Genomic DNA, 22460 nt, shown 5'->3' on the forward strand with positions numbered 1-22460 from the left:
TCCTAGGCTACTCTCCTCTGCTGCAATCTATACATGTGCCAGCTTAAGCAGATGTTGAAGAGGAGGAAGTAAAATGACAATCATTTAAAAAAATTCTTATTGTGTACCCACCCACCGCGAAGTTTGGCCTAATTGTAAATGAAGAATTTAGGACTAGAAAAAAGTGGGTTTGTTTTGTAACAGTGGCATGTACTCCTGTTAACAATACAAAAGCAACCAAATATAGCACAAGCAATTTTCAAGATATGAACATCGAACTTATGGGAATGGTGATAAACTACCAGAATTTTGGCATTTTTAGGGTACATCTTAGATGACAGAACAATACTCCCATAGTAACTGCTCTCCCTTTCTTCCTCGCCTCCACCAGGAGAGTGCACCACTGTTCATTGATAACCACTGGCCGGGCGTGGTGCCTCATGTGTGTAATCCCAGCACTTTGGGAGGCCGAGGTGGGTGGATCACTTGAGGTCAGGAGTTCAAGACCAGCCTGGCTAACATGGTGAAACCCCGTCTCTACTAAAACACAAAAAAATTAGCCGGGCATGGTGGTCTGCGCCGGTAATCCCAGCTACTCAGGAGGCTGAGGCAGAAGAATTGCTTGAAGCTGGGAGGTGGAGGTTGCAGTGAGCCAAGATCACGCCACTGCACTCCAGTCTGGGTGACAGAGCGAGACTCCCTCTCAAAGAAAAAAAGAAAACCATTGATAGCGCCCTCACCCATCACACAACGCACGTCCATGGGGAACCTGGTGCTAAACCATTTGTAAATGACCGGCTTCTGGGTCAGGGTTTCGTACATAGCAGAGCACCTCCCTCGCTGCAAAAATCTATTGAAAGTCAGCCCTTGACACAAGGGTTTGTTAAAAAAGAAAAAAAAAAACCATTGATATGAGTCAGGGTTTTTATTAACAGTAGAATTTCCTGGGTCCAACTGTACTGCTCACTAATCACCTACTAACAGCAACCTTGAATGCCCTTACTATGCAAAGAATGAAGATGGTGACTGGAGCCAGGGAGATGTTTATCCTTCCTGGCCTAGGAGGACACATCAATGGGCCCAAACGAGTTAAAAGATTGCTTAGTGGGTACCTTGTTTCTCAGGGATGGGTCTGCCCCTGCTTCTAGGAGCAGCGCAACTGTTTTAATGTTTCCACTGAGCACTGCTGCATGGAGCGCTGATGTCCCATTCTAAGAGAAAATGACAGTGTGTGTCAGGAGTGAGCTCACAGCCATTGGCATTCAGCATGGCTTTCATCATAAACCATCTGGGTGATAAGACTGTAACCTCATACCCGTAACCTTCCTTATCTTGCCTTGTACTTTTCAAAGTCACATCAGCCCCTAGTATAGTGTCCTTGGATACATAACCAATGGTCAGTACAAATATTGCTAATGTTCTCTTACAAGTGAAATAAGGAATAGGGCTGAGGGGACACATGACTTCATGGTCACTCAGTCTGTTTTACATACTTTGGAACTTGCTGCAGAAGAAACAACAACGCCGTGCCCAACATTTTTGTTCTTCAAGGACAACACGTAAGGACAACACGTACAGTCTGTAGTTTTGCTGAGCCACTTCCAGCGAGGTTAGAGGAAGAGCTGTTTAGCCAACGGGCTGACCTGTCAGACCAGCTACAGACACTCTGAGCACTCAGGTGGGCAGGACTGTGATTGTGGAGCTACAGGGCTTAAGAGGAAGGGTATGTGGGGTGAGGCAATGCCCCGGAGCTTTGAGTTGGAGCATTTTTGAGCACAGAAGGGCCTCATAGGTCAGTTGTTAATGTTTTATGACATTTACTGCAAATATTTATCAAAATAAGGAACCAGCTAAATGCAGCATGTAGCTGGACCACGGAGAGGAGGGGAGGAGACTATAACAAAACTAAGAACAGTGGGCAGTCATAAGACATGGTTCTAGAGGGTACATATGTCCATAAATAGTACCTAATGCAAACTTAGTTTCCTAATTAGTTGCTCATAATAAAAACCACTCTGATTTTGTAAAAGAGTAAAATATCATACCCAGAGAAAAATTCCCACAAAGTAGCATTTTTCTATGGTTGCTTTTAAGTATGTATGATAATTCACTACTCTTGTAACAATTTACTTGTCTAAATCTTAGCCAATCTATCAACTTCACCTACATGCAACACGGGTCAGAATTTTTTTTTTTTTTTTTTTTTTTTTGGAGACAGTGTCTCGCTCTGTCTCCCAGGCTGGAGTGCAATGGCGCAATCTCAGTTCACTGCAACCTCTGCCTCCAGGGCTCAAACGATTCTCGTGCCTCAGCCTCCTGAGTAGCTGGGACTACAGGTGTGTAACAGCCACTCTGCTAATTTTTGTATTTTTTGTAGAGACAGGGTTTCGCCATGTTGCCTGGGCTGGTCGCCAACTCCTGAGCTCAGGTGTTTTGCCCACCTCAGCCTCCCAAAGGGCTGGGATTACAGGTGTGAGCCACCATGCCTGACCAGGAGTTTTTAAAAAGCCAAAAAAGAGCTATTTGAAACAAGATTAGATTTTGCAAAGTTCAAGCTTTCTAAAGCTTGTTCCTTTTATTCATAGAATTCACTTTCATAGATGGTTTATTTTTACTTTACAATTTTTTTTTTTTTTTTGATACGGAGTCTTGCTTTGTCACCCAGGCTTGAGTGCAGTGGTGTGATCTCGGCTCACTGCAAGCTCTGCCTCCCGGGTTCACGCCATTCTCCTGCCTCAGTCTTCCAAGTAGCTGGCACTACAGGCGCCCGCCACACACCCGGCTAATTTTTTGTATTTTTAGTAGAGACAGGGTTTCACCGTGTTAGCCAGGATGGTCTTGATTTCCTGACCTCGTGATCCTCCTGCCTTGGCCTTCCAAAGTGCTGGGATTACAGGCATGAGCCCCCACGCCCAGCTAATTTTTGTATTTTTGTAGAGACAGGGTTTCATCATGTTGGCCAGGCTGGTCTTGAACTCCTGACCTCAGGTGATCCACCCGCCTTTGCCTCCCAAAGTGCTGGGATTACAAGCGTGAGCCAGTGTGCCCGGCCTTTACAAACAATTTTAACAAGTGCAGCTTTTTGGCCTCTTTTTTTTCTTTTTTCTGGAGATGGAGTTTTGCTCTTGTCACCTGGGCTGGAGTGCAGTGGCGTGATCTCGGCTCATTGCAACCTCTGCCTCCCAGGTTCTCCTGCCTCAAACTCCTGAGTAGCTGGGATTACAGGTGTACACCACCACTCTTGGCTTATTTTTGTATTTTTAGTAGAGACGGGGTTTCACCACATTGGCCAAGCTGGTCTTGAACTCCTAATCTCAGGTGATTCGCCCACCTTGGCCTCCCAAAGAGCTAGGATTACAGGTGTGAGCCACCACACCAGACCAGGAGTTTTTAAAAAGCCAAAAAAGAGCTGTTTGAAACAAGACTATATTTTGCAAAGTCCAAGCTTTCTAAAGCTTATTCCTTTTGTTCATAGAATTCATTTTCATAGATGGTTTATTCTTACTTTACAAACAATTTTAACAAGTGCAGCTTTCTGGCTTCTAAAGCTCATGGCAGGCCAGACACAGTGGCTCACACCTGTAATCCCAGCGCTTTAGGAGGCTGAGGCAGGAGGATGAGAGAATCACTTGAGCCCAGGAGTTCAAAGGTCAAGACCAGCCTGGGCAACATAGCGAGACCCTGTCTCCAAAAAAAAAAAAAAAAAGCTCATGGCAGATGAAAGTAGCTCATGAGCTCATTAGGGCAGGGGAGAGAGGCCAACACATTGACAACAGCAGTTCTGTATTAACTGTCAGCAAGAATGGAATCTAAAAATATAAAGAGCAGACACAAAATATCCAAAAAGTGTCTGGGGTCATTCAAGGGCAAGTAGGTTTTATATACATTGATAGACTCTGAGAGGACAGTCCTAAAGCTAAGCCGCTGTGTCCATTTAGAACAGATTTGGTGTCCTGTATGTAATAAAACAGGAGCATTATATCTCAGGGGTCAGCAAACCACAGCCTGCAAATCAAATCCTGCAAGCTAAGAACGGCTTCTACTTTTAAAAATTTTTGCAGAGGCAGGGTTTCACTCCGTTGCCCTGGCAGAAGTGCAAAGATACAATCACAGCTCACAGTAACCTTGAACTCCTGGGCTCAAGCAATCCTCCTGCCTCAGCTGGGACTACAGCCACACACCATGGCATCCATCTAATTTTTAAACTTTTGTAGAGATAGGGTCTTACTATATTCTCCAGGCTGGTCTCTAACTCCTGGCCTCAAGCAGTCTTCCTGCCTCAGCCTCCCAAAGTGCTGGATTATAGGGATAAATCACTGCACTCAGACTGTTTTTACATTTTTAAATGATTTTAAAAAGATTAAAAGACGAAAAATATTTTGTAATATGTGAAAATATGAAATTCCACAAATAACAATGTTCATAAATAAAGTTTTATAGGAATTAAGATTTTTTTTTTGAGACAGGAGCTTCTCTGTCACCTAGGCTGCAGTGCAGTGGCTCGATCACAGCTTCATTTCCCAGGCTCAAGCCATCCTCCCACCTCAGCCTCCCAAGTAGCTGGGACTACAGGTGCATGCCATCATGACCAGTTAATTTTAAAAACATTTTTTGTGGAGATGGAGTCTAGCTATGTTGCCCAGGCTGGTTTGGAACTCTTGGATTCAAGCGATCCACCTGCCTCAGCCTCCCAAAGTGCTGGGATTACAGGTGTGAGCCACCGCACTGGGCCTTTTTGTTGTATTTTCTATGGTTACTTTTGGATTACCACAGCAGAGTTGGGGCAGTTGGGAGAGACTTGTATGGCCCACACAGCCTAAAATATTTGCTATCTGGTAACAGTAATATTCACTAACATTTCAGTAAATATTACTAGACATAAATATTTACTCTATAGTATATATAGTATATATTTATATTATATAGTATATACTATATAGTATGTATATATTATATAGTATATAATATATACATACTATATGTATGTATATATACTATGTATGTATGCATACTCTACACATACCGTATGTATGTATGCATACTCTACACATACCGTATGTATGTATGCATACTCTACACATACCGTATGTATGTATGCATACTCTACACATACCGTATGTATGTATGCATACTCTACACATACCGTATGTATGTATGTATACTCTACACATACTGTATGTATGTATACTCTATACATACTGTATGTATATAATACATCCATACTATATGTACTATATATTATATAGTATGTATTTACAGTATATAATTTACTATATATAGTAAATATATGCCATATACTAATATGCCTCCTGGTCAAGGCAGGAGGATTGCTTAAGGCTGGGAGTTTGAGACCAGCTTGGACAATATAGTGAGACCCTATCTCTACAACAAATTTAAAAATTAGATGGGTGCAGTGGTGTGTGGCTGTAGTCCCAGCCGAGGCAGGAGGATTACTTGAGCGCAAGAATTCAAGATTACTGTGAGCTATGATTGCATCACTGTACTCAAGCTTGGGCAACAGAGTGAAACCCTGTCTCTGAAAAAATGTAAATTTATACTATATATATATAGTATATATATATATACACTATATATACAGTATATATATATATATACTATATATACTATATATATAGTGTATAGTAAATACATTCTGTAGTATATATTTCCTATAGTAATATTTATATATTAATAAATATATCTTTACTGTAGTAAATATATTAGTAATTAGTAATATTTATTACTATTTACTATTTAGTAATATTTACTAAAATGTTAGTAAGCATTACTATTAATATAATAAATAATATAATATAATAAAATTAATATAATCAATAATATAATTATATTAGTAAACAGAAATACTAATATTTATTAAGACTTTACAGAAAAAGTTTGCTGACTCCTGATATATAATATAGGTTAGAAATATTTTAATCAAAAATGATCAAAATTTAGGCCAGATAGGGTGGCTCATGCCAGTAATCCCAGCACTTTGGGAGGCTGAGGCAAGTGGATCACTTGAGGTCAGGAGTTCAAGACCAGCCTGGCCAATATGGTGAAACCCCGTCTCTACTAAAAATACAAAAAGCTGGGTGTGGTGGCAGCGTGCCTGTAATCCCACCTACTTGGGAGGCTGAGACAGGAGAATCACTTGAACCTGGGAGGCAGAGGTTGCAGTGAGCCGAGATCGTGCCATTGCACTCCAGTCTGGGCTACAAAGGGAGACTCCATCTCAAAAAAGCAAAACAAAACAAAACAAAAAGATCAAAACTTAAAAAAAGAGTTTTGGCTCTGTTTTTTAGGTGACCCAGGTATCCATACTGACATATTTTCTGAGGCTTCCAGGTGTTTGAGGCTTATTTTATTTCACTTAAGGGAACAAAACAGAGTGGTTCTTTGCTTAAGAAAATGAAGAGAACAGACATAAGTGTCTGTTCTTCTTCCTTGATTTCACAAATCCTCCAAATGGTGTCAAAATGGCATACTTTCCAATTAGCTATTTCATTACTACTGTCGATTTTTTTTTTTCTGCAAAACTAGGTAATGACAGACTGTGGTTCACTCTTTCTACCACCTCCCCACTTCTACCAGAGCCCCTGGGATCTCCAGCATCAAGAAGCTGCAGGTGTGTTCTTTCAAGAATCCAACTAACCAGGCTAACTGCACCCAAATTCGACACAGTCCCCAAGTGAGGACTTACTTTCTAACCTCTCTCTTACAGATTAGTAAAATTTATCTTTAGGTCTTACCTTCAAAATACCAAGAGTGGGTGAGAATTTAAGCAACTCTTTTATGACATCATTATACCCTTTGTTGGCTGCTTTCAATAATGCTGTTGTGCCATCCTTAACAGAAAGAGGAAAATAAAAGTTGATTATTAACATATATCTGTGTTGCTTGAAAGCAGTCAGTTGGGAACTGGAAAGTACCGTTGTCAGAAACTAATGACGTGTAAATTAAGCACAGATCAGCAATGTCTCTTAATCTAGGAGCATTTTAGAGAATATTAAGCAGTAAATTCTGCATGAAAGAGTATCAGATAAACAGTGACTTAGATTATGTTAGAACTCTGCCATTTGGGAATTCATACTTCTACAGTTCCTGAGAACACTGGGCAGGGGACAAGGGGAATTTCAAGAGCATATTTTTAGGCCATGGTTGGACCAAAGAGGCATTCTCGGCTGTTCATAACTTAGCAGAAATGGTTAACTGTCTTTAATAATTTAGATCATTGTTGAGCTGTATTTACTGTTTCTAAAAAAATTTATACAGCCTTGCCCTAGTCTGCTCTAGGCATCCGCCCGTGTGTGGGTAGTGGGGCTTAGGGGCAGAGGTGATAGATTAAAATCTGCTAAAAGGCCAGGTGCAGTGGCTCACGCCTGTAATTCTAGCACTTTGGAAGGCCAAGGCAGGAGGGTCACTTGAAACCCCGTCTCTACCAAAAATACAATAGCCGGGTGTGGTAGCCCGTGCCTGTAGTCCCAGCTACTCGGGAGGCTGAGGCACGAGAATCACTTGAACCCAGAGGCGGAAGTTACAGTGAGCTGAGACCGTGCCACTGCACTCCAGCCTGGGTGACAGAGTGAGACTCTGTCTCAGAAAAAAATAAAATAAAATCTGCTAAAAAGAATGAAAAGCCAAATTCAAAAATTAATATTTAGCTTCTGTCGTTATTTTTTGGCTCAAGAACACAGTTTCCAAATTCCTTTTTCTCCCATTTTCACATATCAGTCGCTGTGTTTGGAGGATTTAGTCCATAATTCTCCCGTAGCCAAGAAACCACTTCGGCCTGCCATTAGGGTTTATCTGTAATCAGAAAGAAGGAAGAATGAATTGGGGGGCGGGGGGTGGGGGTCTTTTCTGGCTTCAGAGATTGTGGGAAGAAGAAGAGTGAGAGAGAGGGCAGTGAAATGGTGGCGAACGCGTCTGGTGATTTCCCTTTTTTGGAGCTTAGACTTGGAGAGGGGAAGGTGGGTTACGTAAGCAAGGGTTATACAAAGGCCACAGTAAAACACAAAAAGCAAACAGCATAGGTGGTCAGGTTCTCTTCAAGCCTTCCTTATGGGGAAAAGGGCCTGCTGTGCAGCACACAAAGGCAGTATTAGGTGGCACCAGCAGAGGCCAGTGGATGACGGCGGGCCAACAGGGGACGGGGTGCAAGGGGTCTGCAGCTCCAGGGAGGAGGGGCAAGAGGCAGGGCCTGCAGGAGGCGCAGCACCAGCCAGGGGATCCCCCTAGGACACGCCCCAGGACAGCCGGGAGGCCCCCAGGACAGGCGGGAGGCCCCCAGGACAGGCGGGAGGCCCCGTCTCTACCGCCCTCAGGCCTAAGGCTAAGATTCCACCCTCTCTAGTGCGTCCCAAGGTCATCTCGGGTGGAGGAGGAGAGAGACCGAGCAGCACCGAATCAGACCTTGACTTTGTTTTCCTGCTCAAGGAAGGAGGTTGGGAGGAAACCCATGTGGGCTGCAGACTCAGTCAAGACCCGTTTTCTCCACACAGGCGCGCCGGGAGGCTTCGCTCTTTGGCCGCGCGACTCGGGCACTCACGTTCCGCGCAGCGTCGCGGTCGGCTCCGCGCAGCAGCATCACCCGCACCACCTCGCTGTGGCCCATCTGGGACGCGATCCACAGGGGCGCTGTCCCGTCCTGCGGGAAGAGGAGGCGGCGGCCGCCGTGACTGGGGCGCCCGGCCCCACCCGCTCACAGAACGTCTTTAACACCAGGGGTCTGAAAGCGAAAACTCCGGGAAGGCACTCCCTGACCGCAGATCACACTCTGCAGCTGATCCACACCGCCCAGGAGGCAGTGAGAAAAGAGGGGGTGTGTGTAGCCCACGGACGCAGACGGCACGTGGCTGAGCCTGGGCTACTTGAATAATTGCCAGTATTCAAATTTTGGCTTATAAAATCATCCATTTTGTGGCTGGATCTTTTACCAAAAAGGGTGGTACAGACTTCATGGAAAGATGCGTGGGAACCTTGCTTTGAAGGCTTGGGGGAGCAGCTGACCTGTATACATACACCACAGCAGAACCAAATTCCACAAACCCAGAGAGAAGCCGGCCTATTCCCCCAAGACTGTCCATTTCTTTGCTTTCCCAGTGGGTCACACCTTAATGTTCACAAAATACACCCTTCATTCCCATAGAACGCAGGCAGTTTTCTTTGAGGTGGGGTCTGCGGGTCAGAGAACTCAAGTCATTTCTCCTACTCTTCTAGTCTGGTGTCCAGAACCCTCCAAAGCCACCTCATTTCTTAGGGGGCTTAATTTTAGGTGGAATCTGTTGTTGTGTCTTCTAGGAAGTGATGCACATAAACTAGTTACGGCAGGACAGCATTTTGGGGAATATTTCCTCTGCGTATATTTGGGAGTATTTCCCCAATATTGCTATCTCTGTGCACACTGGGCCATGAGGTGGAGATATATTGCTTCAGAGGAGAAAAAAGTAAAACATGCAAGGGATGGGGAAGGATTTGACAGTAGGGTGGTTCCCAGCAGATGGGATGGAAACTGGGAAAGCCTTCCAATGTGTGAAGGAGCTAGAGAGGGAGGGGGAAGGCGGAGGTCACGTGAGAGTGTCCACGTTTTCTTCCCCCTCTGCGTTGAATCTCGCGTGTGTTGTGGGGGAGAGGTAACCTAGGTTGTGGAAGAAACATCAGGTCAGTTATGGGGAATTCCAGATGGGAAAGGATTTTCTCTTCTTGTGAGAAACCAGGAAAGTTACAAGCCCTTTAGAGTTCTGCTCTCTGCTGGTGCCCGGGAGATAGGAGAGAAATGGCCGTGGGAGTTTCAGAGTCAGTGGTCCCCCAGTCCCCATGGCCCACATCCACCTAGCACCTAGGCATCCAGGAGTCCCGTCTGCCTATGGGAAATCAGAAGTGACAGAGAAACAGTCGGCTGGAGTGAGCCTGGTGTCGGGAAGGCAAGGCCACAGTGCCCTGACTTCCTGAGTAGATACAATGGCCAGGCCAGCAGAGAATGGCGAGACCAGCTGCAACCCTGGGGTGTAAGAGTGCAGGACGCTTGTGGACCAGCACAAGGGCCACGCATGAGGCTCTCCACCCCCATCTCAATGCCAGGATGATAGTCTGACTCTTAGGTCCCTTCGGAGAGAAAGGCAGGAGGGAGCAGGATCCAGAATGGGCTAAAGGTAACCTCTGAGGTAATTATGGTAATATGCCCCAAGAGACTGTTTTAGCCAGATAAGACTGAATTACCCATCGGGGGAAGGGGGGCTGAAGAGCAAAATGATTCAGTTATAGAATATAAAGTTACATTTTCTGCTGCAGTGTGTAATTTCAACCTTAGCCTACTAGCAGAAGCAGGCACAAGATTGTTGCCCACTGCTGTCCCAGGAAAGGGAGAGAGGATGAAGACATCTGAGCTGGGTCGGGGAAGCTGGTGACTTGGGAGCCCAGGAGGATCTGGGGGTGCTGAAGAGCAGTCACAGGATGTTGGGACCTGTCTTGGGAGAGACAGTGGAAGAGGTGCTGAAACAAAGGATAGAGGGAAGTGGAAGACACTTTAACTTACTTCATAATTTTTCCAGGGTCCTCTTGGTGGAAATATTCTTGAATCTAAATATTATCATGAGCAATTTGTACTTTAATTTGTACTTTAGTTTAAAAGCACTTCCATATTCTTTATTTGATTTTCCCAATTCAGGATTTAATTAATCAATAATTCAAGCAACCAATAATGATAATTATTATTTGAGACAGGACTCTGTTACCTAGACTGGAGTACAGTGGCATGATCAAGGCTCACTGTAGCCTCAACATCCTGGGCTCAAATGACCCTCCTATCTCAGCCTTCCTAGTAGCTGAGACTACAGGTGTGCACCACCATGCCCAGCTAATTTTTTTTTCTTTTTTTCTTTTTGTAGAGATGGGGCCTTGCTTTGTTGCCTAAGTTGTTCTTGAACTCTTGGCCTCCAGCAATCCTCCCACCTCAGCCTCCCAAAGTGCTGAGATTACAGGTGTGAGCCCAGCCTTCTAAGTCTCAAGCAGAGTGCTAAAAATAAGTCCTGGAGAAGAGACATGGAGGTTTCCATACGACTGCAGTGCCATCATAAAGTATGGACAAAAATGCACAAAATCAAACAGGTGGGAGGGCTGCTGCATGGGGAATGAGGGCTCAGTGTCCTGGATAGAGTGCTATCTGATCCAGGTCTTGAAGAAGGACCAGGATTTTGCTAGGTGTGAGAAAGGGGAAGGGTCGTTTGAAGGAGAAGGAAAAGCAGCTACAGTCACAGTGGCTTGGACAGGCATGGCTCCTTCATGCAGGGTGGGAAATCTAGCTGCTGTAGCCAGAGGGGTGCGGGTGGGACCCTGGAAGGCAGGAGGGGAGTGTGGGTCCAAGCTGGTGCCAATACTAATGCGCTTCTCCCTCCGTGCCTGCTCTGGGTCTGTTTTGTTCTTTGTCACTCTCTCCACCAGAGGGCGGGCAGGGAGAGGCAGCCAGCTGTCTATTCAATGTGCTTTTCAATGGCTTGGTCATTATTAGTAAACTTGTATTAACAATTGAAACTAATATGTGGGAAAGTGCTAAAAGGTGCTATATTGTGAAAAATTATCTATCTATCTACCTACCTACCTACCTATCATGGAGTCTTGCTCTGTTGCCCAGGCTGGAGTGCAGTGGTGCCATCTCAGATCACTGCAACCTCCACCACCCAGATTCCAGAGATCCTCCTGCCTCAGCCTCCCGAGAGGCTGAGACTACAGGCATGCACCACCACACCCGGCTAATTTTTGTATTTTAAGTAGAGACGGGGTTTCACCATGTTGGCCAGGCTGGTCTCAAACTCCTGACCTCAAGTGATCCACCCGCCTTGGTCTCCCACAGTGCTGGGATTACAAGCATGAGCCACTGTGCCTGGCCAAAAAATTATTATTATCAATTTAGAACATCAATGATAACACTCATCAAATATATCATCTTAATTGGAATAGTCATGGGAGGTGGAAAAAGCAATCAGTTCTTCCTGGCTGTAAGACCTTAGGCAAATCATCTCAGCCTGAGTGAGTGTCCTCTTAGGAAAAATTATTAGCTTCGCAGAGATAAGTGAGAAAACATATACAAAGGTGGTGAGCATGAGCACTGGCTCACAGATGCTTAGGAAATGTTAATTGCATCTGAGTAGTATTTATCATGAGAAACAATACGCCCCTTAATTTGTACTTTTGTTCACAAAATACTTCCATATGCTTTTTAATTTGATTCTTCCATCGACCCTGTGAGATAACTGACTGTGAGCAGGTAGGAATGAGTGGGAAAATGAGATTTGGGGGCCGCCTGTGTATTTCATTACTAGTCATTACATCTCCAAATCTGATTTTGGAGCCCAGGGAGTTGCATGTGAGTTAGAGCATTATTGTCAAATCAGATTACCTATCAGTTGATTATTTAGTTTATGAATTAGGAGAGGTTTTCCTCTTTTGTACACCTTAATTTCTGTTTTCTCTTATTTTTTCCTTCTGGTATAATGGTTAGAGCCTTCATTTTCATCATGAAAATGATGGGGTGCAGTGGCTCACACCTGTAATCCCAGCACTTTGGGGGGCCAAGGCGGGAGGATGGCTTGAGCCCAGGAGTTCAAGATCAGCCTCAGCAACACAGTGAGGCCCCCATCTCTATAAAAAAAAGAACAATGATTTCATATGTTTTTTTTTTTTGAGACGGAGTCTTGCTCTGTCGCCCAGGCTGGAGTGCAGTGGCACAATCTTGGCTCACTGCAAGCTCCGCCTCCCGGGTTCACGCCATTCTCCTGCCTCAGCCTCCCGAGTAGCTGGGACTACAGGTGCCCACCACCACGCCCGGCTAATTTTTTTTTATTTTTAGTAGAGATGGGGTTTCACCGTGTTAGGCAGGTTGGTCTCGATCTCCTGATCTTGTAATCTGCCCGCCTCGGCCTCCCAAAGTGCTGGGATTACAGGTGTTAGCCACCGCGTCTGGCGATTTTATATATTTTTTTAAATTAAACATATAAAAATAATTTTGAAAATGATGAAAAGTAAGTCAATTTAGCTCCTTTTTGTAGAGTTTTGGAATGTACCAAAATGTGAAAAAACATTTAAAAATATTCAAATAGGCTTTTGAATACTTCCATATACTTTGATATTTTTAATACTTTGATATTAAATCAAAGAAATCATTGTGAAGTTATAACCTCTACAGCACTTTTTTTAAAAAGGTAATGGCCAGGCATGGTGGTTCACACCTGTAATCCCAGCACTTTGGGAGGCCGAGGTGGGGCAAATCACTTGAGGCCTGGAGTTTGAGACTAGCCTGGCCAATATGGCAAAACTCTGTCTCAACTAAAAATACAAAAGTTAGCCGGGTGTGGTGGTGCATGCCTGTAGTCCCAGCAACTCAGGATTCTGAGGCAGGAGAATCACTTGAGCCCGGGAGGCAGATGTTGCAGTGAGCCAAGATCATGCCTCTGCACTCCAGCCTGGGCGACAGAGTGAGACTCCATCTCAAAAAAAAAAAAAAAAAAAAAAAAAAAAAAAAAAGGTAATAGAACATTTAGCCTGAAGAAGAATGAGATTCATGGGGTTATGATAGCTGTCTTTTACTATGTGTGTGTATATCAAGTAGAAAAGGATTTAGACCAATTTTTCAGACCAAGTGATAGAAAGAAGACAGATGGGTGAAAGCTGCATGGAGACTTGGGGTCAATGTATAAAAGTTTAATGAGTGTTGGCTAAGACCAAAGAAACTGATCAGAGAGGAGTGAGTTCTCCATGCCTAGAGGTGTTCAACAGTAGCTGATTATCATAGAAAGGATTCGAGTACCGATGGATGGCTAAATAGAGTGAGTTTTATAGTTTCCTCCAACTCTGTTATTCCCTCATTTCATTCGAGATCACTTTTACAGCCAGATCACAGCATGAGATGGAGTATATGACACAACCTGTATTAGAGACTAACCTTGTATGGTCTTATGTAGGCTCCTGAGAGTATTTGGAAAAAAGAACTAAAACCATCCTCTTCTGTGGGAATGAGTATCTGAAGCGGCACTAGCTCTTTGCTTCTACGATTTCCAGCCGTCACACTTGGGTTACTTCTACCTACAGGGTTAGGCCAGTCAGAAAGTCTTGGGGACCAATTCTATTTGAAGTTGGGAGTCCAAGAGCTGTGAGGAATCCTGCCCGTGGCAGAGGGAGTTCAATATTGAGATAATTTTCTTACCCACCCTACCCTGCCCTGGAGCCTATTTCTTATGATTGTCCCTTGCACCGTGTGCCTGGCCCAGCAAATGGGTCTGTAAGAGATTTTACCAGATGCTGCATTGCCCATGGTCTGACTCTATCCTCCCCAGTCAAGGGTGATGGGACTGAGGATAGGCAGGCCAGCCAGTCACTGTGGCCTGGTGCACAAAGATGAGCTGTGACAATGACATGGCTATTCCCAGAGGTTGGCAGTCTGATCCATAAACCTGGGGACCACATACAAGATAAGTAAGCAGACAAAACTGGTAAAAAAAGAAAGGAGTGGGGAGAAACAGAGATATGAAGAGACTTTGAGATGACAGAGAACACACGACTCACTAGAGAAAGTGCAGCCTTGATTTCTGATGGGTTTTCTGTTCCAATGAGGCCTGGTTGGAATAGGAATGATAATAACAGCAATACCTAACATTGCACTGGGTGTGTATCAGCTACTGCATTAAGAGTTTTGCAGGGATTATTTTATTTAATTATCACAGTAGTCCTAAAATACTGAGACTCAGGGACAGTAGGCAACCTGCTAAGGTCACACAGTTAATAAGCAAAATGGGGCCTCTGTTTCATTTTAAGATATCTATATCCCCATAATTTCCAAGCTGCTCTCCACCCAAAAAATCTGGGTCTGCTCCCTAGCTGCCTCTTACAGTCTTCCTGGGGCTTATGCTTATGAGTCTGGGCCCTATATCTGGAGCCTTCTTCTAACTCTCAGGCACTGATCACTAAATGCTGCAGGCTTCCAGACCTGCTCTGCACCAGCCATGGGGATCTTCTGGCAGTCGATACACTTTTTCTGAGTGTGTACCATGTGCAAACGAAACAAGACAGAGTCCCTGCCCTTGCCAAGCAGCAAGGACTTCCTATGGCTGTCTGTTCCCATTTCCAAACCCCCAGGATTCTACGCTAATCTTTTGGCTCCTTCTCCCACTGCCATTGATGGATTCACCCCTCTAAGCTTCCGACCTGGGAGAACGTTTAATTTCTGGGTCCAGCTACTCTGTGTACAAGTCAAGGCTTCTGTTAGGAGATGGCACTTTATTAGATGACTTTTCCTCCAGCCTTCAAAGAAATACTGTTTAGCACATGAAAAAGACTAGATAGAGATGAGTTAACTGACTAACCTCAGCTCTGGGTTAACAGGATCAGACCTTTGCATTCTATTAAAGTATTGTTTTAATAAGGTGGGTGAGTGGAGTTGGGAAAATATATGTCGAGGCATTTGGTTAATAGAAAAATAGAAATAGCCACTCAGCTAGTGATTAAAAAGGTCTGACTCATAGCAACTCAACTTGGTGAGGACACGTGGAAAGAAATGAAAATGAATTGTTAGAGTGAAATCTATATTTCAATGATCTCTGTGACTCTTGACCTTTTGGCTTAGGACAATATGGAAGGAAAATATTTTTTGAAGTTTCAAATCAAGAACATAGTCTTCCTACTGTCTGGCTATGACTAGATTTGGGATTATGATTCCTCATCCCAAAGTACTAAAAAGGTCTTCATTTAGTTCTCAGTGATAGAGTTACAAAGAAAAGTCATCCCACTACCGTTCAGATTCCCTGAAGCTCATATCAAATGTCAGCTGAGTAATTTCAATGTAACTTTGTCAACATCCTGTTACAGGATACCGTAATAAAATGGTAGGGCTTCATAGAATGTCAGTGCAACAATTACAAATCAGATTTAGCCAAAAGTATTAGGAAATTAAACCAGGCAGGTATTCCTGTCCTCATTTTGTAAATTCAAGGATTTTCCAATAATGACTCAATGTGTCAGCTGAGATTTCAGAATAAAACATTGGTTTCCAAATGCTCTACCTATAGAATATAGGTAGGCCATGTGCAGGCCATGTGCAGGCATGGCACTGTTTTCTTGGAACATAATAAATATGCAGAGTTTACACTTTCAGAGAAGACGGAACTTGAGCTAGTCTGACCTGGATAGATAACAACCTCTAATTATAAGCTCACAGTAGGTAATAAAAATTATTATGATTTGAGGGCACAATGGGGTGAGTGTACTCTGTAAAAAGGAAAAATTCCATTGCCTTTTTTCCCCAAAGCAATTCTTATTTTATAAGACACCCTTTTCCTGAATAACAATTCTTTTAGGGCTGAACTCAAAATAATTCAAAACAATTTCATTAGATGCAGTCTTTAGAAGTTGTAGCACTTGCTCCTTGACCAGAGGGTGGATCCCTGCACTCAAAGACTAGGTCATCCACTTTGACCAGGTTATCCTAACTCTTGAGGAAGAAAAAACAGCTATGGCGTGTTGTGGCTACTGCTGCAATGTTGGTTTACTCTTTAACTTCTTGGCTTCAACATCACGGCATGACTCATTTTAGGTTTAAGTGGGCATGGCTCATGCAACATTTGAAATATAATCTCTTATATCGACTTGGTTTTTTACAAGCAGTACTTTAGGCATATAAAGAATAAAATTCAAAGTGCCAGAAATTATTTTGGAAGGATGTACTAATAGAGAGACTTGATAATCTTGATAACCTCACATTCTAAATTCACAGTGGTATCTTCAATAATGGCCCCCAAATCAAACTTAGGCAATCTAAAAATAACCAATTCCTTTTACTAATTTTAGTAAAATGAATCATCTGATTCAGAATCAATCAACAATAACAAAATAAGAAGGACCAATACGAAAATATTAAACTCCAGTCCTCGAAAGTCAACTCTAGCAGGACGAAAGTAAAAGTTTTTTTGAAACTGCTTCCTTTCCCAGGAGTATTCCTGGGGCCACCTAAGAATAACTTTACAATTCTAAAAATATAACCTTACATTGATACATTACATTGATTACAATGTCTGGCACATGGTAAGTACTCAAGAAATATTGATTGAATGTTGAATAAAACAATTATTTAAAATGTGGGCATTTGAAGAGATCATCAGGCTCATGCTGCTCAGCCTCCTAATTTTCAATGATGAAAGTCAGGCCCAGAGAGGTTGATTCACTTGTTCAAAACCACACAGCTCAAATTATTGGCAGAGATGGATTGAGAACTTGGGATTCCTGACCTCAAAACCACTTTGCTTTCCTGACTTCAAACCACTCTGCCCAAAGGCTCTTTATTTTTCTCAGGCTCCTTATGTGCTTGGGCTTCTAAAGACCAGAGAAACCTGTGTCCAAGAGCTCAGACCAACCTTAAAGTTCTCATAGCTATTCATTATGTGAACACAGAGAGGCATTCCTGTATCAGGTCATAGTACAGTGGAGATGTGCCTGGGTATGAAATCAGCTTGACTTTTTCCTAGGAAACTACCTTTATAGTAATGTTTCCTTAATTCGAAATGTTTTGTTAAAAATAAATTAATCTGGTGCCAGGCATGGTGGCTCACACTTGTAACCCCAGCACTTTGGGAGCCCAAGGTGTGTGGATCACTTGAGGCCAGGAGTTCGAGACCAGCCTGGGCAACATGGCTCTCTACCAAAATGTATCTCTACTAAAAATACAAAAATTAGCTGGGCATGGTGGCATGCACCTGTAATCCTAGCTATTTGGGAGGCTGAGGCACAAGAACCCAGGAGGCGAAGGTTACAATGGGTCGAGATCATGCCACCACACTCCAGCCTGGATGACAGAGCAAGACGCTGTCTCAAAAAAAAAAAAAAAAAAAGTTAATCTGGACAAAAATAGTACCTACACAAGAGAAGCTAATTATAATACTGTACATTTGGAAGGTTCTTCACTGTTTATAAAGTGCTGCCTGTATAATCTTGCATTTCTGTTCTTTTTTCTTCTTTTTAAAAATCATTACTCTTTTTTTGAGACAGAGTCTTGTTCTATTGCCAAGACTGGAGTGCAGAGGCGCGATCTCGGCTCATTGCAACTTCTGCTTCCCAGGTTCAAGTGATTCTCCTGCCTCAGCCTCCCAAGTAGCTGGGATTACAGGCATGCGCCACCGCGCCTGGCTAATTTTTGTATTTTTAGTAGAGACGGGGTTTCATCATGTTGGCCAGGCTGGCCTCAAACTCCTGGCCTCAAGTGATCCTCCTGCCTCGGCCTCCCAGGGTGCTGGGATTATAGGCATGAGCCACCACTCCCAGACTACATTTCTGTTCTTTTACTTTCAGTTAATTGAATTGCTAGCTGTTAGCTTGCTGTTGGTAAATGAAGTCTCAACAGCATAACAATTGTGAGAGATGAAGGTGCAGAACCTCCTAATGATTCCAACGGCATGGGCTCCTCTTTGGCTTGGTGGAAGAAGTGGTGGGCAGGTAGTAAGGCAGCATTATCAGCAGGGGCCAGGCTACTTGGCCCACATCTGTTTACCTATGTCCCAGGCCAGCCTGCACTCATTAGATCAGTGCAGCCATAATTTGTTTGCACAGGAGGTGGCAGAGTGTGTACTTGTGTACTTGACCTCAGACATCAAATACTTAAGTTTTGAAAGTACTGAACTGTGATGTCAGCTTGGTTTCATAGGCTTTCAGGCCAGCTCAGAGCATAGAACAGGAGATACCCTAATCAAAGATTAACTTTTCATCACAGAAGCAGAAGGGTTTAAAGGATGCCTTGAGCTTACTGGTTATCTCAGGTATGTGCTGCCAGCGGACACCCAGCCCTCCCTGCCCCATGCGCCATGTGCTCGGGCAAATGTCAACAGTGGACATTACCTGCCTTGGCTGGTTGACTTTTGCTCCTGAAGCCAGCAGTAATCGAATAACATCCAAGTAACCACCTTGGGCAGCTAGGAAGAGGGCAGTGGCTCCATCCTGAGAGAGAACAAATTAAAAGCATTAAAAACATTATCTTTCACACTTATTTTAAAAGAAATTAGGGCGGGTGCAGTGGCTCATGCCTGTAATCACAGCACTTTGGGAGGCCTAGGTAGGTGAATCCAGGAGATAGAGACCAGCCTGGCCAATATGGTGAAATCCCGTCTCTGCTAAAAACACAAAAATTAGGCTGGGCACGGCGGCTCACGCCTGTAATCCTAGCACTTTGGGAGGCCGAGGCAGGTGGATCACCTGACATCCGGAGTTCGAGACCAGCCTGGCCAACAGGGCGATACCCCATCTCTACTAAAAATACAAAATAATTAGCCAGGCGTGGTGGCGGGCACCTATAATCCCAGCTACTCCGGAGGCTGAGGCAGGAGAATCGCTTGCACCTGGAGGCAGAGGTTGCAGTGAGCTGAGATCGCGCCACTTCATTCCAGCCTGGGCAAAAGAGCAAAACTCCTCCTCAAAAAACAAAAAATCAAAAAACAAAAAACAAATAAAAATACAAAAATTAGCCAGGTGTGGTGCTGCATACCTGTAATCCCAGGTACTCGGGAGGCTGAGGCAGAAGAATCTCTTGAACCCAGGAGGTGGAGGTTACAGTGAGCCAAGATTGCATCACTGCATTCCAGCCTGGGCAACAGAGTGAGACTCTGTCTCAAAATAAATAAAATAAAATAAATTAGATTTAAAATATACACATTTAATATAATTTTCCATCTCCATCTCTTTGTAGGTTTCCACCTTTTTGTCAATGAAGAGCCAAATGTTAGATATACAAATCCCCCAAACCTCATTTTTAAAAAATTTATTTTTAATATATTTTTAAATTTCTAAAAATTCTTTTTTTTTTTAATTAGCTGGGCGAGGTGGCATGTGCTTATAGTCCCAGCTACTTGGGGGCACTGAGGCAGGAGGATCACTTGAGCCTGGGAAGTTGAGGTTACAGTGAGCCATGTTTGGGCCATTGCACTCCAGGCTTAGGGAACAAAGTGAGACCCTGTCTCAAAAAAAAAAAAAAAGAAAAAAAAGAAAAAAAAATTGAGAGTAAAAGGTGTCCTTTTAATTAGATCTTTCCTACCCTTTTCTCTTTCTTGTCCCCTTATCCTTGTTCCCCCAACATGAGGGTTCTGCAAGAATTAAGATACAATATGCAGCTGGGTACGATGGCATACACCTGTGGTCCCAACTACTCAAGAGGCTGAGGCAGGGGGATTGCTTGAGCCCAGGAGTTCAAGACCAGCCCTGGAAACATAGCAAGACCTTGTCTCTCTCTCTCTTCTTTTTTTTTTTTTTTGAGACAGGGTCTCCCTCTGTCACTCAGACCTTGAGTGTAGTGGTACGACCACAGCTCAATGCAGCGTCAACTTCCTCAGCTCAAGCGATCCTCCCACCTCAGCCTCCTGAGTTGTTGGGACTACAGGCGTGCATCACCACATCCAGTTAATTTTTTAAAAAAATTTATAGTAGAGACAGGGTCTTGCTATGTTGCCCAGGCTGGTCTCGAACTCTTGGGCTCAAGCGATCCTCCTGCCTCTGCCTCCCAAAGCACTAGGATTACAGGCATGAGCCACCATATCCAGATGACCCTGTCTCTAAAACAAAACAAGACAAAACAAGACAAAACACAAAAGAACCCTGAAAGATGTTTTCAATACAACTGCCCTAGAAACCATCTCCACAAAGTGGCTCTCTGCCAGCCCAGCAGACACCAACAACACCTATAAACACAAAAAAGCACTCCTGCATAAAGCCCAGAGCAAGTGCCCCTTTTCCAGTGCTCTTTAGTTTTCGTCTTAACTGAGTATCTATGCCTTCTGGGCATTTCTGTTTTCTTGGACACATGTCACTCGGTGCTTTCGGCAGACGTGTGGATCAGCTGAGAGCATGATCCCCGGATGCTCCCTTCAGCCTGACAACATTCGCAGCGCAGGGTGAGCTTCATTGTTTTCAGACCACGGTGGAAAACCAGAGCACACCCTAGAGGAAAACACCTAGCAAACCCAGCTAATTACCACACCTCCCATTGGGAACACTAACCTCAAGCAAAAATATAAGACATGTTTCCCTGCAAGTCCAGCCACGTGTGTCACGTGGAGGGTCCTGGATTTTCAGTGGGCGTCAGCAGAGCTGCCAAACTGCCCTCCAGGCAATCATTAAGAAATTAATCAGCCTGTACAGATTTTCAAGCAGATGTTTTATATGGGGATAACATTTTCGGAAAGTCTACCATGTCCTTAGCTGCTGAAAACTCTCAGCAATTTTCTTTTTCTTTTTCTTTTTTTAATTTTTTTTTAACTCTCAGGAATTTTCCAAGATGAACTACCCATGCATTGAATTTTTCACTGTGCATTCCAAGTTTTGGTTCTGCCCCGCCCATCCATATTTCAATCGTTTTTAAGAAAATATTTAGATTGTTTGGGTAAAGGTAAAGGTCTTAATATAAAATGGAAGTTATAATGCATGAAATTTCTTGAGTCACCTTAAAACAGAGAGGAAATTACTATGGGAAGGGGCTTTTCTTTTCACCAAACACTTTGGCTTTTCCTATTCAGTGTGTGTGTGTGTGTGTGTATATATATATATATTACACACTCTCAGATATACTCTACCTATATATAGCCAAAGACATATCTAACCTTTAGACCTGTGCTTCTTAGATTAGGCTACATGTGAGAACTACCTGTTGCCCAAGCTGTGCCTTCAGAGACTCCAGTTTTGTTGGTCTGGAGTGGGCCTCAAAATAGTATTTTTTTAAACTTTCCCAGATAATTCTAATGGGCAGCCAGAGTTGAGAATCGCCTCTTTAGATCATTATCAAGTAATTCAATCATTCTACTGGTAATGTTGCAGGCTCAAAGTGTGTTACAGATTTTGAAGTGCAGAGGGTGAGGCTAGCTGCTATGAATTTCAAAGAGGCCTGTGATTTGTCAGGGTTAACCATGTAAACTCTGGAAAGGGTGTTCAAATGGAAAAGTTCACACCTACAGAGCTCATTACATGTCTATGAAAGTATAGTGCCCCAGGCATAAGGGTTAAATGCCTACCTGTAGGACAGCCTAAAATACGGTTCCTAGATAATTGGAAGTAGGAATTTTTCCACTCTTCACCATGAGACTGTCAAGTCTATTCATCTCCCTATATTCTATTTTCGCTTACAAAACTGGAGTAATGTTTGCCATAAATCCTATGGCATTATAGCGACAATCAATTGAAAGGCCCTTGGGTGATGATGTACTAATTGACAGTTAGCTGCAAACAGACCCGCACTAGCAGTGGATGCCTTTCACAGGTCAATGGCATGTGTATATTTCACAGAGGTCTTCATCCATCCAACCTCACTTTTCTACCAAATACCTTAGATTTCTCCTCTTTGTGCCCTTCCTCACAAATACTACAACAGTATATTTTTATATCCAATGAGCGCATTTAGAAAAATTTTGTATATTTTGGTTTTCAGCAAGTCCATATGCTGGGCTTTGTAGTTTGTCATGGTACGA

The 22460-nt window shown here is 43.5% G+C and overlaps 1 protein-coding gene across 11 annotated transcripts in view; it reads right to left on the reverse strand.

Annotated features, from left to right (window-relative positions):
* The window catches only part of ANKRD29 (ankyrin repeat domain 29), a 63986-nt gene that overhangs the window by 12075 nt on the left and 29451 nt on the right, over window positions 1-22460 (reverse strand). For 4 of the 11 annotated variants that reach the window (XM_011525830.3, NM_173505.4, XM_011525831.4 and 1 more), the window contains 4 exons: window positions 18853-18951; window positions 8531-8629; window positions 6732-6827; window positions 1092-1190 (listed from right to left, as the gene is read on the reverse strand). In XM_011525830.3, coding sequence (XP_011524132.1) covers window positions 1092-1190; window positions 6732-6827; window positions 8531-8629; window positions 18853-18951 — 393 coding nt within the window. Of the gene's footprint in view, window positions 1-1091; window positions 1191-6731; window positions 7789-8530; window positions 8630-18852; window positions 18952-22460 lie in introns of those variants that run through there. The other 7 variants (XM_017025561.2, NM_001308238.2, XM_047437305.1 and 4 more) reach the window with 4 other exon arrangements.

This window comes from Homo sapiens, chromosome 18 (assembly GCF_000001405.40).
Source record: "Homo sapiens chromosome 18, GRCh38.p14 Primary Assembly".
Lineage (NCBI taxonomy): Eukaryota > Metazoa > Chordata > Mammalia > Primates > Hominidae > Homo > Homo sapiens.